This window comes from Homo sapiens, chromosome 1 (assembly GCF_000001405.40).
Source record: "Homo sapiens chromosome 1, GRCh38.p14 Primary Assembly".
NCBI classification, from domain to species: Eukaryota; Metazoa; Chordata; class Mammalia; order Primates; family Hominidae; genus Homo; species Homo sapiens.
This window is the reverse complement of record NC_000001.11, coordinates 32,160,311-32,178,333: the sequence shown is the minus strand read 5'-3', so window position 1 is coordinate 32,178,333 and position 18,023 is coordinate 32,160,311. Positions and strand designations below refer to the sequence as shown.

The 18,023-nt window shown below is 45.8% G+C and overlaps 1 protein-coding gene across 5 annotated transcripts in view; it reads right to left on the bottom strand.

Moving 5' to 3' along the window:
* Positions 1-1,770: 1,770 nt before the first annotated feature.
* KPNA6 (karyopherin subunit alpha 6) overlaps positions 1,771-18,023 on the bottom strand; it is a 68,508-nt gene continuing 52,255 nt past the window's right edge. For all 5 annotated transcript variants that reach the window (XM_024446165.2, NM_012316.5, XM_024446166.2 and 2 more), the window contains 8 exons: positions 17,631-17,719; positions 16,288-16,387; positions 15,810-15,973; positions 15,021-15,099; positions 12,104-12,229; positions 11,038-11,165; positions 8,274-8,452; positions 1,771-7,627 (listed from right to left, as the gene is read on the bottom strand). In XM_024446165.2, coding sequence (XP_024301933.1) covers positions 7,440-7,627; positions 8,274-8,452; positions 11,038-11,165; positions 12,104-12,229; positions 15,021-15,099; positions 15,810-15,973; positions 16,288-16,387; positions 17,631-17,719 — 1,053 coding nt within the window. In that variant the 3' untranslated portion in view covers positions 1,771-7,439. The remainder of the gene's footprint in view (positions 7,628-8,273; positions 8,453-11,037; positions 11,166-12,103; positions 12,230-15,020; positions 15,100-15,809; positions 15,974-16,287; positions 16,388-17,630; positions 17,720-18,023) is intronic.

The following is an 18,023-nucleotide window of genomic DNA, read 5'->3' as shown; positions in this document are numbered from 1 at the left end:
GATTTCAGATTTTCAGATTGGGGAAGCTCAACCGGTAAAATTTGAGAAAATCCCAAATTGGAAACACTTCTGGTCCCAAGCATGTTGGATAAGAGATATTCAATTTTTAGTATAATGATGGAACTGAGGCTCAGAAAGGTTGGAATCTAGATGTCCTGAAACCAAGGCCCTGATTATTTCTAGAAAAGCATTCTGGAAATCTCTTGAGAAGGCACCATATAAATCAGGCCTTGATAGATTTCCATATAACAAGGGTGTTCTAGGTGAGATAAAGAACATAAAAATGTATGCATGGGGTGAGGGATAGAGGATGTAGTAGAAGGGTCAACAATAGCCTAGAGGGGCCAGTTGGGTAATGAGAACAGGCAAGAATAATTGACAGAAACATAGGTTAACAAGTTACTTTCTCCTTTGCTATAAACAATATATAGCAACAATATTAGCACCTGCCAGAGTGAGGGAGAGGTGGTGATTGCAGTAAAATACAGCAGCTCTTGCACATTGTTAGCAAGCAGAAACTCAGGCCGGGTAGGGCCAGATTGTATTTTTGTTTTTTAGACAGGTTTTACTCAGCTGCTGGGGCTGGAGTGCAGTGATCATAATAGCTCACTGCAGACTCGACCACCTGGACTCAAGTGATCCCCTTGCCCCAGCCTCCCAAGTAGCTAGGATTACAGGTATGTGCCACCACAGCCAGCTAACTTTTAAATTTTTTTGTAGAGACAGATCTCACTTTGCTGCCCAGGCTGGTCTTGAACTCCTGGCCTCAAGTGATCCTCCTACCTTGGCCTCCCAAAGGGTTGGGATTACAGGCATGAGCCACAGTGCTTGGCCTCTTTTTAAAAATGGAGACTTCAGGACAGTCTTTTTCAAGACAGACATTTGATTTAAAAAAAAAATGTTGGCAACTAATTCAAACTTAAACACGCTCTGCCAAGCAAAACCTTCCTGTGGGTTCAATCAACTTTCTGGCTGCTTGTCTGTAATCTCTGCTTTAGGAATTATCTAAACTGAAGGGAGGAGTCTGTGAACTATTTGATCTTAAGAGGTTCAGGCTGGGCACGATGGCTCATGCCTGTAATCCCAGCACTTTGGGAGGCGGAGGCAGGCGGATCACCTGAGGTCAAGAGTTCAAGACCAGCCTGGCCAACGTGAAACCCCGTCTCTACTAAAAATACAAAAATTAGCTGGGCGTGGTGGCGGGCACCTGTAATCCCAGCTATTTGGGAGGCTGAGGCAGGAGAATCGCTTGAACCCAGGAGGCAGAGGTTGCAGTGAACCGAGATCACGCCATTGTACTCCAGCCTGGATGCCAAGAATAAAAAACTCCGTTTCAAAAAAAAAAAAAAGGTTCAAAGGGCTGTAGAGTGGTGCTGATGAAACTAAGTCAAAATCATTTAGAGAAACTCTAGAAAATGCAAACTAAACTACAGTGACAGCCACAGATCAGTGGTTGCTGGAGGTGGGGCAGAAAGGAGGGATTCTCAAGCGGGAAGCTTACGGCTTATGAAGGTCATAGATATATTCACTATCTTGTGGTTGTTTTATGGGTGCATATGTGTTTCAATTTATCAACGTGTATATACTTTAAATATGTACAGTTTATTGTATGTCAATTATATTTCAATAAAGTCGATGAAAAAAACTTTAGAGCAGGTGCAGGTTGGTACAACTCTTATTTCCACTGTTAAGCTACAAATTTAAACACCTCCTCATTCTCTTCCCCCAAATCCAGTCTAGGGTCACTCCAAGCCAAAGAAGACAATTTAGAACTTTGCAACAGGTTTTTATTTTTGCTTTATATCTATTACAGTGTTTGAAACCTAAAGAAATACATTTTCTCTTCAAATTTGGATGTGTATATAAATAACATTTGTCTGGACTCAGCACACTCAATGCCATGTTTTCTTCGCCTATGTCTGCTCTGAAATCAAGCTGTGTCTGTCTACCCAGGGGCCCTGAGAACATGGAAAATAGAGTTTATTGTTATTAGAAAAATAAAAGCAAATGAATTTGCAAAGAAAAACCAGTGAGAAGGATTAGATTCATCTTCCAAGGGTCCATAGCTGGTAACCCAAGCCATTCTCGGGGGATATCCAGTCTCTTGAGTGGCTGGGACTCCATTACCCACTTTCCTTCTTTAATAGGTCAAAGGCAATTCCCACAAAAGCTGGCTAAAAAAGCCGACACCCAACTCCAGAGTCTGAGGGTTCATGAAGATGTGGACTTTTTTTTTTGAGACAAGAGCCTCACCCTGTCGCCCAGGCTGGCACAATCTTGGCTCACTGCAACCTCTGCCTCCTAGGTTCAAGAGATTCTCCTGCCTCAGCCTCCCACGTAGCTGAGATCACAGGTGCCCACCACCACACCTGGCTTATTTTTTTTATTTTTTTATTTTTGTAGGGACGGGGTTTTACTATGTTGGTCAGGCTGGTTTTGAACCCCTAACCTCAAGTGATCTGCCCGCCTCAGCCTCCCAAAGTGCTAGGATTACAGGCATGAGCCACCGCGCCCAGCTGAAGATGTGGATTTTTTTTTTTTTTTTTTTTTTGAGATGGAGTCTCGCACTGTCACCCAAGCTGGAGTGCAGTGGCATGATCTTGGCTCACTGCAACCTCCGCCTCCTGGGTTCAAGTGATTCTCCTGTCTCAGCCTCCCAAGTAGCTGGGATTACAGGCGCCTGCCACCACGCCCAGCTAATTTTTTGTATTTTTATTAGAGATGGGGTTTCACTATGTTGCCAGGCTGGTCTCAAACTCCTGACCTCGTGATCCACCCGCCTCGGCCTCCCAAAGTGCTGGGATTACAGGCATGTGCCACCGCGCCTGGCCAGATGTGGACTCTTTAAAGACATGCTCTGAGTCAGAGGTTCCCAGCCAGTGTTAGGATCTCTGAGAGCTTACTTCCTTCAATGCCCCCCAGGCCATGGCGTATATAATAGTTACAGGAGAACAGGGCTGGCATTCAGCAACAGGGTTCAGGTACGAGCTAATGTGGACATCAGAAGTCAGCCTGGCCCAGAGGCAGCTAGGCAGGCCACTAAGATACACTACATAAACCTTTTCCCATGGTGTTCTGGGCCTAACATGTAATACTGCCTCTTCTAACTCTCACAGCCTGCTTAGGTTCTGCACATAGCCCAGACCTGAAGCAAAGCGCCCTTGCAGAGAAAAAAATAACAGCTTTAATTCACAGATTTGGTTGGTCTTGACCTCAAGTTCTTCCTTTGCCACGGTCTAAATCAGGGTGTGGGGCTAGAGGACAGATAATGAGAGACTGAATCATTTATGAAGGCCTTGGCCAAAGAGCAGCTAGTGCCCACTACATGGATCCCAGCAGGGCCAAATTCTCAACTTGTTGGCTTAACAAAAGAATGAAAAAGCTCAAACAGAAAACATACTGGACAAGGTTGGTCCAGAACATGCAATCCTAAATGGCTATGGAATAAATTTATTCTGAGCAATATCTCAGTCTCACACTCACTAAATTCTAGGGTAGTTCTATTGAAGATGTTTACCATGGTTTAGCGCACTGAGCCCTGCACCCTTCCCCAGGCTGCCAGGGAAGCAGAGAGGTACAAACATTCCTAATGCCCCAGTCAGCCTGTTCTCCCTATGGGGTCCCTGGATTACCTGCAGGGACCTGGGGGAAATTGGCTCCCTGTCTTCAGCTGAGAGTCTGGAATCTGAACCCTAGATGAATCTACTGAAGAATGCTCAAGATGATGGATACCAAGCTGAGTGAGTCTAGGGGAGAAGAGAGGCCTGAACAAAAGAGCTGGGGCCTTCAAAGAGGTGTATGAGAGGTGAGGTTAGTAGTGCCAGGCTTTCCTATCTTTTCCTTCTAGTTTGCTAGAAACAAGTACAACTTTAGGGTGTGGGGGGAAGGCAGGTAGACATGAAGAAATGGAAATACAGTTCATTCTGCTAGACATTTTAAACTGGTTTGGCTTGAGAAAAATAGAAAGTCTGTGCCTGAGAACCTTCTTTTCCTCTCCCTTATTTAAGTACAATAGCAGCTATAATCTGTGCAGTTCAGCTCCAAAAAACAGGGCTCCTGGAAGATGGCTTTCATGGCAGAGAGTTGATGGGGTAGATTAATGGGCTCTAGGTAAGGAGCAACACCAAGGGTCCCTGAAAACTGAGGCCAACACCTGCTCCCTGGGGGGGGGCCATTTGTATTCCCTGACCCATGTAACAAGCCTGGCCAGCTGTGGGTGGAATCCATGTGGTTCTATCAGAAGGCTGCAGCCAACATCAAGGCCAGGCAGTCACCAGGGTCAGCTGGGATCTGAAGGGAGGCTTCTAAGACCAGACACCCTGTTAGTACTAAAGATGATGATTTGGGGGTGGGATGCCTGGAGGGGCTGGCACCATTCAAAAAAGTATTGGAAAACATTAGCCAAGAAAAAGGCTCCTTGTCCCTCCTAATCCATATCCAGATACCCCCAACCAGAGATCTTAAAAAGGATAGACCAGCCATATGCCAACATGCCAGGATTCCAAAAGCATGCCTCAACTAATTAGGGTATTCCCTACAGCAGACTGGGGTAGAGGGGCTCCATCCTGGCAATAACCAGAGAGCCTTACCTCGCCTAGGCCAGGGTATGGAATCTAGATGAAGACTGTCCACAAACAGTGGCTCTCAAGCCTGGGCTAAATAAATAATATTTTGCTTCATTACATGGCCAAAGGAGAGGAGGAGATAGAAAAGATGATATTACTACCTCTGTGGGCTGGAAGAACTTCACCTGTTGGTTGAAAGGGGATTAAAGGAAGATAACAGGAAAACCTGGTCTGGAGAAGACATAAATGAAAGCTCCTGGAGGCCACTTTTCTCTGATTAGAAATCTATCCTCACACTCTGCCCCTAGTAGACTTTAGCCTTTGGAGTTCTTAGGGAAAACTGGCTTTAAGCAGCAGCCAGATCACCAAAAACATTTTCCATCTGGTACAGGACCCGGAGCTGAAGCCAAAGTAGATTTTGGAGGAACAGCTGGACAAGCAGGATGTGTATGTCTTACACTAAGAAACTGGTCCCTGTATCAGGGACTTAACTCTTACTTGAGATGTACAAAGTAGATCCTACTAAATTGCCCTTTGGAAGAGAACAATGGGCGGAGGTTGGGTAGGGGAAGGCTTTTTTTTTTTTTTTTTTTTTAAACTGTAAGAGAATGGTTTTTTAATGGAGGTAGCAGGCCAAGTGAAAAAAAGATTCTGCCCCCTGCCTTCCTGGGAGATTGGGAGTTGGCAGCCATCATTCCCAAGCTGATGAGTGGCATATGACTCACCAAGGTGGTACAACATGGGTGGGATTTTTCAAGGACAATTGCCAGACCTAAACCATCCTCCTCAGAAAATGGCTTTGAAGTGGGACTGCAGCACTAGGAGAGGGCAAATTCAAGATCAATGGCCAATAATAAGTACCTGAACTTTAGGTCTATAAGCAGAAGGGCATGGATTTCACCTGAGCCAGAAGGAGATGTGTAGCAATAGAAGCAAGAATGGCATTGTTTCAGAGGAAGGAAAAGCAGAGCTTGGAGCAGGATGCCTCTGACTAACCACAGTGGGGAGGTGGGGGTGGGGCAGACTGTGCCTTCAGCTCCACAGCTGGTCTACACCAACTTCCTCTACTCCCATCCAAACAGGTGGGCTTTACTATCATATGTAATCCACCCAGAGGCACAGGCAAGCCACTAAGGCAATGCACTACCGTAATTCAAACAGAAAGAAGAGGCATCTGGATTATAATTGTCACAAGGAAGGGAAAACCCAAACCAGGTACAAGGATCCCAAACAGGGAAGATACGCAATAGCTCTAAAAAAAAAAAAAAAAAAAGCAGGCTACTAAGTTTCAGTGATAATAGATAATAGGAGAGGCAGCCATGGGTGATCAGTTATGTGGACAATGGCCATTGAGATTGAATTTGACAAGGCAAACTGCTTCTGAGTTTCCTGATACAAGCAGGATGTTCAGCAGTAAGGACAGAGTAGCAGACTTCACCAGGCCCTGAGGCCATCCTTGCTCCCTTCAGGTCCTGGGACAATCAGGCCACGCTGACCTGCTTTATGAAGGTTCCAGAGCTGAAGGTTGGTCCCAGGTGGTGGTCCAGAATCCAAGCAGAGAGGAAAAGGACCAAGCTCAGGCCTCCTGAGCGAGGAAGCATCCATATCTCTTTTTGGTCTTCCTCACAGTATCCTACTTACCGAAATGACAGACAGTTCTTCCTCTTGAGACCAATTAAGATTGACCTACCTAATATATAGAATATAAAAAAATACAGAACTTTTTGACATTCTCTCCTTTAGAAGTAAAATATACATGATCCAACTATGGAAGAGGAAGAAGAAGAAGAAGAAAGGCCAAAGGCAGGGATCCCTGACTATCCCAATACATGACACTCTCACTCCACCCTCCTCTGCAACTTACAGGTCACCAGAGCAAGGACTTTCTCCTCAGGAGAAAGGAAGGACCACAGCCCCCTATCTCAAGCTTAGGAGAAAATACAGCCACCTCAGAGGTTCTCTCAACCTCGAGGGGGAATTTTCAAGTAAACAAATGAAGTTGGGTCGCACCATTTGGAAGGTGAGTAGGAAATATGGGATCAGTAGCTACACGTGGGAAGCCCCATCTGAAGGCCTGTGCTCCTCCCCTGCACTCCCACTGGTATACTTGAGACACTTCAGGAGAGTGAGGAGGATCCCCCAAACTAAAGAGGTCTGGGCAAAGAGTCAGAGGGAGGGAGGGACCTTTGTTTCATGGTAGCCTCCCCAGCCTCTAGTCCCAGGCAATGCAGGCAGCTGGGTTTACTAAAACCAGGAACTTGTGGCTCTTGGGAAGAGCAATCTTAATACAAGAAAAATGTGCAAAAGAAAAAAAAATTAAATAACTCAATCCAAGCGTACAAGATTAATATTCTGTCAGAGCAAGAACACTTTGTTTTGGATTTCTCCCTTCCCCTCCCACCTCCCACCTCTGGAATATACCGTCTGCTCAAGTACCCAAGATAAGAGTTACACAGATCAGGGCAGAGGACCGGGAAGAATGAAAAAAGATAAAGGGAAGGAAGTCACCACTGAAGAAAAAAAGAAAAAAAATAAAAATAAAAAAAGGTGCAAATTGATTACCTTAGTCCTCCTTTGTCTACCCCTGGGCTCCTGGGTTAAAGACATGTGTGCAGCCAAAATATAGTGTAAGGAAGAAAAACCCAACACGTCCCCTTCTTGTCACAAAACCCAAAGGTGAGCCTCAGATGGTTCTGTCTGTCCAGAGGGTGCTCCCTCCAGGGAAGGGGGCGGAGCAGGTCAAGAGCACAGTCTCCAGGGCAGCAGAGGTGTGTGGTGGCTGATGGTGGGGACACTGGTTTCCCGCCCACCAGAGGGCTGCTCTTCCGCTGGCTGGTGGTGCTTCCCATCCCCTCCCCTCCCTGGAGGCAGATATTATAGCTGGAAGCCCTCCATGGGGGCCTCAGGCTGCTGGAAGATGAACTGCTGTTGCGTTTCATCGACTTGGGGAGCCAGGCTGCTATCATCGTCTTCTACACCAAAGTAGTGCTCAATGAGGTCGAAGGCCTTCTGGTAGATCTCCTGGTTCTCGTGGCTCTGGAGAAACTCAATTTTATCCAAGCCTACAGTAGTAAGAAGGAAGGAGAGGGAAGTGTGAGTGCTTTTCTATGGGCAGGTGAAACATTTACCTATTTTTCCTTCCCTGAGGTATGTTAGTGCTTACAAACACAAGTCATATGATCAGATCACTCTTGGACCTGAAAGGGGAGAGTTAAGATTTCTTCTCAAAACTACAGAATCCCAAAGGAAAGAGACCAAAATGTCAGTTACAGAGGTTCTAGTCCTGATTCTGCTTTAAACTAGAAGCATGACCTGGGCACATCATCAGCCTCTCAGGGATGAGTGATGAGTTAATCCAGCACTCTTATAGGTACAGCCTATCAGAAAGAGAACTGACCTATCACTCCTTAGAAGGAGAAGAAACTGGTGAGAGACAACTCTCAACTCAAAAGATGAGCCAAATCCAAATCCTAGCTGTACCCCAGCTACTCAGCACATCCTGATTATACTCATGGTAACGTGTGAAACCCTGTGGATGGTGAAACTTGGCTAGGGCAGGAGCTCTTAACTGTTCTGAAGACACAGACATCAGTCTCATGGAAGCTATGGATGCTTCCCAACCCACACTCCGCCACCACCAACATATGTATACCACGTTGGAGGCCTACAGTCTCAGGTTCTGACCTAGATTGAGGAGAGGGCACATACCATAGGCTTCCTCTATGAGGCCACAATAAGGATTGACCCCTGAGCCACTGCGCTTGCCCTCTTGCTCTCCAAGCCGCAGGATGTTCTCCAGTCCATTGAGGGCCACTTGCACAATCTTCGAATCCATTACAGTCAGCAAGTCACATAGGGGTTTGATGCAGCCCAGTGAGACCAGGTACCTAGGGGCCAGAGACCAGGCAAGTGCTAAACTAGTACAGGACACATGAAGTGCTGGGCAGGTGCTCTGAACTCTCAGCAACCCACTCTTACTAATTTATTTTTTTATTTTTAAGAATTGTGAGGCCGAGCGCGGTGGTTCACACCTGTGATCCCAGCACTTTGGGAGGCTGAGGTGGGCGGATCACAATGTCAAGAGATCGCGACCATCCTGGCTAACATGGTGAAACCCCGTCTCTACTAAAAAAAAATACAAAAAAAAAAAAAAAATTGGCCAGGTGTGGTGGCGGGCACCTGTAGTCCCAGCTACTCGGGAGGCTGAGGCAGGAGAATGGTGTGAACCTAGGAGGCAGAGCTTGCAGTGAGCCGAGATTACGCCACTGCACTCCAGCCTGGGCGACAGAGTGAGACTCCGTCTCAAAAAAAAAAAAAGAAAAGAAAAGAAAAAAGAATTGTGCAACACCCCATTCCATGCCAGAGAATGAGAGTGTTCCCCAACCAAGTCCTTTTTTTTTTTTTGAGACAGGGTCTTGCTCTGTCACCCAGGCTGGGGTGCACTGGTGCGATCCCAGCTCACTGCAGCCTCCTGGGCTCAAGTGATCCTCCTGCCTCAGCCTCCCAAACAGCTGGGACTACAGGTGTGTGCCACCATTCTCAGCTAATTTATTTTTTATTTTTTGTAGAGACAAAGTCTCATTATGTTGTCCAGGCTGGTCTCAAATTCCTGGTCTCAAGCGATCCTCCCACCTTGACCTCCCCAAAGTGCTGGGATTACAGGTGTGAGCCACTGCTCTTACTGAGCCTTGATAACCGCTTATCCTTTCTCTATCTCTCTACCTTCCTGTTGATATTGTTCTAGTTCATTTCACATGTGGTTGGTCTAGTTCATTTCACATGTGGATGCTACCAAACACTCCTCCTCCTTGCCTCTAATGTCTCCTTGGCTGCAATATTACCCCTCTGAACACATTACTTCCCTGCATAAAATTTTTCACAGGCTCCCTAATTCGCTGAACTCCAAATTCTATGGCACAACAATACCATAATACCACAAGCCCAGCCCAGCCTGGATGCTCTGCAATCTGGCTCCTAGTTCCTTTCTAGCTCTGCCTCCCATTATTCCCTTCCAAGGACAATACATTCTAGTCACACTTGTAAAGGTCTCCAGGTTTCTGATTCCTGTACCTTTATTTATGCTTTTCCCTGTCTAAGAGGCCTTTTACAATCCCATATTTATCCTTCAAAGCTTAACTCAACAGCTATCTCTTTTCTCCTAAGACTTTATATATACTAACTGTGCTCCCCTTAATAGGCAACAAGTGAAGGGCAAAACACTTAACTATTCCCACCACTTTCCACTAATGTTCAGATAATGTAAACTAAAATAAAAGAGTACACAGGCCAGGTGGCTCATGCCTATAATCCCAGCACTCTGGGAGGCCAAGGTGGGAGGATCATCTGACATCAGGAGTTCAAGACCAGCCTGCTAACATGGTGAAACCCCGTTTCTACTAAAAGTACAAAAAATTAGCCGGGCGTGGTGGCACGTGCCTGTAACCCCAGCTACTCAGGAGGCTAAAGCAGAAGAATCGCTTGAACCTGGGAGGCAGAGGTTGCGGTCTCAAAAAGAGCACACATACACAAAATAGCTTTCTATTCGCTTCTTTCAAGTCTCATATCCCAAATTAATTTCTCAAAGAAGCTGCTTTTTTGTTTGAGACAGGACCTTGCTCTGTAGCAAATGCTGGAGTGTAGTGGCACAATCACAGCTTATTACAACTGTGACCTCCTGGGCTCAGGTGATCCTCCTGCTTCAGCCTACTGAGTAGCTGTGGCCACGGGCACACGCCACTACAACCTGCTAATTTTTACATTTTTGTACACATGAGACAAAGTCCCTATGTTGCCCAGGCTAGTCTTGAACTCCTGGGTTTAAAGGATCCTCCTGCTTCAGCTTCCCAAGGTGCTGGGATAACAGACATGAGCCACTACACCAGCTTGCTTGTTTTTTTTTGTTTTTTTTTTTTTTTGTGACAGACTCTGGCTCTGTCACTCAGGCTGGAGTGCAGTGGTACAATCACAGCTCACTGCAGCCTTGACCTTCCAGGCTCAAGCCATCCTCCCATCTCAGCTGGGACTATAGGCACATGCCACCACGCCCGGCTAATTTTTGTCTTTCGTAGAGACAGAGTCTTCTTATGTTGGTCAGGCTGAAGAAACTGTTTTGAGTAACCCATAGTACGGTTCCCCTTCATTTGAATTGAGAACTACATAGATTTCAGTTCTCTGTTGGATAAGAAAAGGTAGAGAAAGGATGGATGTCCATGTCATGTTTCTCTTCTCCAGAAGGGAAAACTGGTAAACTGTTATAGTGTCACTGGAATCTGGAATAGATTCCCACATGGCTTACATGGAATCTATTCCAGATTCTAGTGACACTGTAGCAGTTTACCAGTAAAATTCTATTACAGTGAGACTAGGGGGCAGACCTGTCTGAGCAAGAGCAGTTTATAGGTCACCTGTAAACCATGAGCAAACAGGGAGAGCATCCATTATCATTCAAGACAACGGGAAAGGAATGTAATACCTGATCTGCTCAGGGGTTCCTCCTGATGTGGCATTGGTGATGGCCCAGGCTGCCTCTTTCCTTGTACGAAACTCTGCTTTCTGAAGGATTTCGATCAACACAGGGAAGATATTTGCATCTATAACAGCCTGAGAGAGAATTGAGAGGAGGCAGATGGAAGGAGAAAGTCATTTCAGCATGATAAATAAATCTAGTCCCCAAATCAGCTGAGACTTAGACATCTTCCCCATTCTGGGAGTTTTCTTTTGTTCTTCCTATATAGGTGACAGGCTACTACAGAAGAACCCAGTTTTGGTTACACAGCTTCTTTGACCAATAGTACACACTGACTCCAATTTATTTATTTATTTATTTATTTTCTGAGACAGTCTTGCTCTGTCACCCAGGCTGGAGTGCAGTGGCGCGATCTCGGCTCACTGCAAGCTCCACCTACCAGGTTCACGCCATTCTCCTGCCTCAGCCTCCCGACTAGCTGTGACTACAGGCGCCTGCCACCACGCCCGGCTAATTTTTCTTTTTTTTTGTATTTTTAGAAGAGACATGGTTTCACCACGTTAGCCAGGATGGTCTTGATCTCCTGACCTTGTGATCCGCCCACCTCAGCCTCCCAAAGTGCTGGGATTACAAGCATGAGCCACCATGCCCAGCCCCTCTTTTTTTTTTTTTTTTTTTGAGACGGAGTCTCGCTCTGTTGCCCAGGCTGGAGTGCAGTGGCGTGATCTCAGCTCACTGCAACCTTTGCCTCTCGGGTTCAAGCAATTCTCCTGCCTCAGCCTCCCGAATAGCTGAGATTACAGGCGTCCGCCACCACACCCATCTAATTTTTGTATTTTTAGTACAGATGGGGTTTCACCATGTTGGCCAGGATGGTCTCAAACTCCTGACCTCATGATCTGCCCACCTCGGCCTCCCAAAGTGCTGGGACTACAGGCGTGAGCCACCGTGCCTGGCCAATTGACTCCTATTTTTAAAGGGAAACAAATTCTTTCTTCTGAAAGCAAATATTCCAACAACCTCCCAAGTTCCTATGACTTCCCATGCCCCTTGACTTCCCTGCCTGTTTTACCTGTATTTGAGCCCTGTTGCCAGCAGTAATATTTGAAATAGTCCAGCAAGCTTCCTTCCGGATTGACTCCTTGGGACTGCTCAACAAGTGGAGAAGGCAAGGTAGGGCTGAACAGTTAAGAATGACCTAGAACACCAAAAGCACAGGAAACAAAAGAAAAATTAAACTGTTTTTAATTTTTTTTATGTTTTTTTGTTGTTGTTGTTGTTGTTGTTGTTTTTGTTTTTTTTTTTGAGACAGAGTCTCGCTCTGACGCCCAGGCTGGAGTGCAATGGCACAATCTCGGCTCACTGCAACCTCCGCCTCCCAGGTTCAAGTGATTCTCCAGCCTCAGCCTCCCAAGACGCTTGGATTACAGACGCCTACCACCACGCCCGGAAAATTTTTCTATTTTTAGTAGAGATGGGGTTTCATCATGTTGGCCAGGCTGGTCTCATGCTCCTGACCTCAGGTGATCTGCCTGCCTCGGCCTCCCAAAGTGTTGGGATTACAGGTGTGAGCCACTGTGCCCGGCTTCATTTTTTTTCTTTAAATAGGGTCTCACTTTGTTGCCTAGGCTGGAGTGCAGTGGCATGATCATGGCTTACTGCAGCCTTGACCTCCCAGTCTCAAGCAATCCTTCTACTTCAGCCTCCTGAGTAGCTGGGGACTCCTGAGTAGCAGGGTGCCACCGCACTCTGCTAATTAAAAAACATTTTTTTTTTTTGTAGAGACAGGGTCTTCCCATGTTGCAGGGCTGGTCTCAAACTTCTGGGCTCAAGTGATCCTCCTGCCTCAGCCTCCCAAAGTGCTGGAATTACAGGCATGAGCCACTGCACCTGGCCCAGGTAAACTGGACTTAATCAAAATGAAAAACTGTTGTGCATCAAGACATTGGAGTAAGCTGGGCACAGTGGTATGCACCTGCAGTCCCAGCTACTCAGGAGGCTGAGGCAGTAGGATCACCTCAGCACAGGAGTTCAAGGCCAGCTGGGGCAACATAGTGAGACCCTCTAAAAAAAATTAAAAAAGAAAAGAAAGTTGGTCTGGGTGAGGTGGCTTCATGCCTGTAATCCCAGCACTTTGAGAAGCCAAGGTGGGAGGATTGCTTAAGCCCAGTAGTTCAAGAGTAGCCTGGGCAACATGGTAAAACCCTGTCTCTCCAAAAAAAAACAAATTCAAAAAATTAGCTAGGCATGATGGTGCATGCCTGTAGTCCCAGCTACTTGGGAGGCTGAGGTGGAAGGACTGCTTTGAGCTCAGGAGGCAGAGGTTGCAGTGAGCCGAGATGGCATCATTGCACTCTAGCCTGGGTGACAAAGACAGACTCTGTCTCAATTTTAAAAAATTAAATAAGTTAAAAGTTTTTTTTTTAAAGACACCAAAGTTAAAAGATAAAACCACAGAACAAGAGAAAATATTTGCAAAACATGTGTCTGATAAGAGATTAATATCCAGAACATATGAAGAACTCCTAAAATTGAACAACCAGAAAACTCAACAACCCAATTAAAACATGAGCAAAAGACTTGAATAGACATGTGTCCAAAAAAAAAAAAAAAATACACAGATGGCCAATAAGCATATGAAAAGATGCTCAACATTACCAATCATTAGAAAAATGCAAATCAAAACCACAATGAAATATCACTTCACACCCATTAGGGTGGGTATTATCAAAAAAAAAACAAAAAACAAAAAACGGAAAATAACAACTGTTGGCAAGGCTGTGGGGAAACTGGAACATGCTGCATTGTTGGTGGGAATGTAAGATGGCATAGCAGCTGTGCAGAACAGTATGGTGTCCCCTCAAAAAAATTAGGCATAAAATTAGAACATGATCCAGCAATTCCACTCTGGGTATATACCGGGGACTTGAACAAATATTTGTACACCAATGTTCATAGCAGCATTATTCACAATAGCCAAAAGGTGGAAACAACCCAAATGTCTATTGATGGATAAATAAAATATGGTATATACATACAGTGGAATATCATTCAGCCTTTCAAAGGAGTTCTGATGCATGCTACAACATGAACGAATTTTAAAGATACTAGGCTAAGTGAAATAAACCAGACGAGAAAGAATAAACACTGTATGATTCCACTTACATGAGGTACTTAGAGCACTCAAACTCACAGATACAGAAAATAGAATGGTGGTTACTAGGCACTAGGGGAAGGGAGAATGGGGAGTTACTGTTTAATGTGTACGGTTTCAGTTTGAGATGATAAAAAATTTCTGTAGCTGGCTAGTGGCAATAACGGAAAAACAATGTGAATGTACTTTATGCCAATGGTTAAAATGGTAAATTTTATGTTGTATTTTAAAGTACATGCATATACATATACAAAGTAACCCAGAAAATGAGCATGTGGGTTTGAGTGTTTGAGTGACACTACTCACCTGTTAAGAAACCTGTCCAGAATCCCACAGAATTATGCTCGCTACTCAAAACCCAAAGAATACCCAAATCTCTAGCCTTTGAGCAGGGGAACTTTGTTTACTATGCCTTCACCAGAAGGGTTATTTACAAAAGATTATTCCAAGGTCCATGATATCCATGAGACCTTAAAGATCTAGGAAGCAGGGGTGGAGTTCCATAGCTTTCAGTATCTCAAAGGGACCATGACTCAAACTTAACTAACTCACAATGTCCCAGGTGGTAAGTCCAGTTATTCCACTTAGTTTTCCTTCACCCATTAGACGATGATTTGTTCCCAATTTATGTAAGAAAAGAAGGAACCAAGTTTCCCATGACTGTTTAGAGAATAACAGAGCTGGAACTTTTCACTCAAGCCCACACTTACTTCCTTAGACCATAGTGCCTCCCATCAGGACCACAGCCCTTTGCAGGAAAGGCTTTTGTCCACTGGCAGCTCTCCACAAGCTCTTCCATAGCTGGTCTAAGATCCTGCACCCTCCTCTTTCTTACCTGGGTCTGGATGTCATCCCCAGTGACGATGTTACCCACGGCTCTCAGGGCAGGAGAAGCCACTTTGTAATCATTGTGCCTACAGAGGAGGGAGATCTGATCAGAAGGCCAGCACACCATTTTCGGCCCTGCTGATTCTCTCTCTTTAGTCTGAGCCTGGAGAAGCTTAAGGAACCTGTACCCTTTTTTTTTCTTTTTTCTTTTTTTTTTGAGACAGAGTCTCGCTCTGTCGCCCAGGCTAGAGTGCAGTGGCGCGATCTCGGCTCACTGCAAGCTCTGCCTCCCGGGTTCACGCCATTCTCCTGCCTCAGCCTCCCGAGTAGCTGGGACTACAGGTGCCCGCCACCACGCCCGGCTAATTTTTTGTATTTTTAGTAGAGACGGGGTTTCACCGTGTTAGCCAGGATGGTCTTGATCTCCTGACCTTGTGATCCACCCGCCTCAGCCTCCCAAAGTGCTGGGATTCTTTTTTTTCCTTTGAGACGGAGTCTTGCTCTGTCACCCAGGCTGGAGTGCAATGGCACGATCTCGGCTCACTGCAACCTCTGCCTCCCAGGTTCAAATGATTCTCCTGCCTCAGCCTCCCAAGTAGCTGGGATTACAGGCGCCTGCCACTGCGCCCAGCTAATTTTTGTATTTTTAGTAGAGACGGGGTTTCACCATGTTGGTCAGGCTGGTCTCGAACTCCTGACCTTGTGATCCGCCCACCTTGGCATCCCAAAGTGCTGGGATTATAAGCATAAGCCACCGTGCCCAGCCAGAACCTGTACCCCTTCTAAGACCACTCACATCAGCAGCTCTACCAATCTCCGGCAGACTCCGGAGTCTATGACTGCCTGGATCTTCTCATTGGGGCCATCAGACAGATAAGAAAGGGCCCAGCAAGCATCTGCCAGCAAGTCCGAGTCGCTGCTGAAGAGTAGGCGAGACAGTACAGGCAAACAAGGAGAGACCTGTGGGAAGCAGAGTGAGAAAGACTCACAGGGGAACAAGACTATATCAGCTCTATCACGAACCCTAACATTGCAACCACCGCCCCCACAATACACACACACAAGTAATTCCAGACCCTAGGGATCGCTACTACATTAAACATTTGGGTCTACCTTTTCACTTTACTATCCAGGTACACAAGATCATCTACTTCACTAACAATTGCTTCTTTCAGTTTCCCATGATTTGAGACTCCAAGGAGTATCCCAAAGACTTAAAAACTCCATATGAAGGAACCTGATGTCACTCAGGGTCTAGTAAGTAGCTCTCTCACCTTTGCAAACTCTGGGGGTGGGTTTTTCCCTCGGCAGAGATTTGACAGGGCCCAGACTGCATTCCGTGTCATCGTCAGTCGTGTGGACTTGGTAAGGAGTCTGAAGGAAACAGCAAAGCCAGATCCTGAGCACTGAGGCCTTGGCATAGGACTGTTGCCAATGAACCCAGAGACAAATCCAATGAGACCTCTCAGACTCTAGCAGCCTGTTTCTTCCTACTCACAGACCTAAGTTAATAGAGCTGGTATAGGTTAGGAGGCCAGGCTCTATACAGAGTATTCATTTCAGGACCAGCTGTGGCTAGTTAATACCATAGATAATAGGGACGAAACAGAGGGCTAGATCTGGAGTAAGCCTGTAAAGCTTCTAAAGTGGGATATATCATGCCCATAACCCTGGCCACAAGTCCAGGACAAGGAATGGTGTTCTCTGGAAATAAAAGCTAAAAGTCTAAGAAATAAAAGCTATAGGTCTACTGTGAGAGCTTTAGCCACACAGTATGGAATAATTTTCTGTGAAGGGTCCAAGAAAGTGACAGTGGTAGGCTATGAGACTGTGGTCTCTGAAGAACAGTTCATTCATCTGTTTTGGTTTAGGCATAGTTTACTCTAAGGGTACGGAGGGAAGGATGGGAGAAGGATACAATGACGCTTCACGGGGTCTTTGATCTATAATTTACGACAGAGCTGTCCGATGTATGTATGCAAAACCCCATAACAAATCAATGCATTTTGTAGAGAAGGTTGGATTTTTCCAGGTGGGCTAGTCCTGCCTCTCTCCCCTGGCTCAACAATGAGGAGGATATGAGGATATGACTAACATGAGGTTCTGCAGTGCCATGAAGTGAGGAACAAGATCCTTTTTGGCAGATGGGTGGCACAATCTTTTTTTTTTTTCACTCTTTTGCCCAGGCTGAAGTGCAGTGGTGTGATCAATCACAGCTCACTGTAGCCTTGATCTCCCTGGGCTCAGGTGATCCTCCCTGCCTCAGCCTCCCAAGTAGCTGAGTCTACAGGTGCCTGCCACCACACCTGGCTAACTTTTGTATTTTTTGTAGAGTTGGGGTTTCACCATGTTGCCCAGGCTGGTTTTGAACTCTAGGCTCAAGGGATCCACCTGCTCTGGCCTACCAAAGTGCTGGGATTACAGGCATAAGCCACCATGCCCGGCCACAACCTTCTCAATCTCCAAAGATACCTATCTTTTACTTTGGCAATCAGAATGCATTTTTATAGTTTTTGCACTTACCTATCATCTTAAGGAATCAAGTATGCTGCCCCCAAATGACCTGCCACGTGGCCACCCAGTAGACGCCCAGGTACAGATGATTATAATTACTCACGTTAACAAAGGATTAAGGATGGAACAGTTCAAGACGTAATCTCGGCAAACAGAGCTATCTCCAGCTATGTTTCCCAGTGCCCAGACTGCCTGAAAAGGGGATAATGAAACTGTCACCCACAAAGCTTGGTACTCCTGTGAGTACTTTATAGCCACAACTGCAAAGTGAGTACCCACCAGGATGAGAATGATGTCAAGGCCCCAAATATACTACACAAGCTCAGGTAACCTCCCTATTGAAATTCTTACTGAGCACTTGTTCTACAATGACCTATCCCTGGGAGTTCCTGGTTCAGCAGGGAAAGACAGGCTGCCATCTGTACTATAGCCACAGAAGCCAAAACAATATCGCCCAGAAAAGGAGAAAGTAATCAGAAAGTTGCATTTTTTTTTT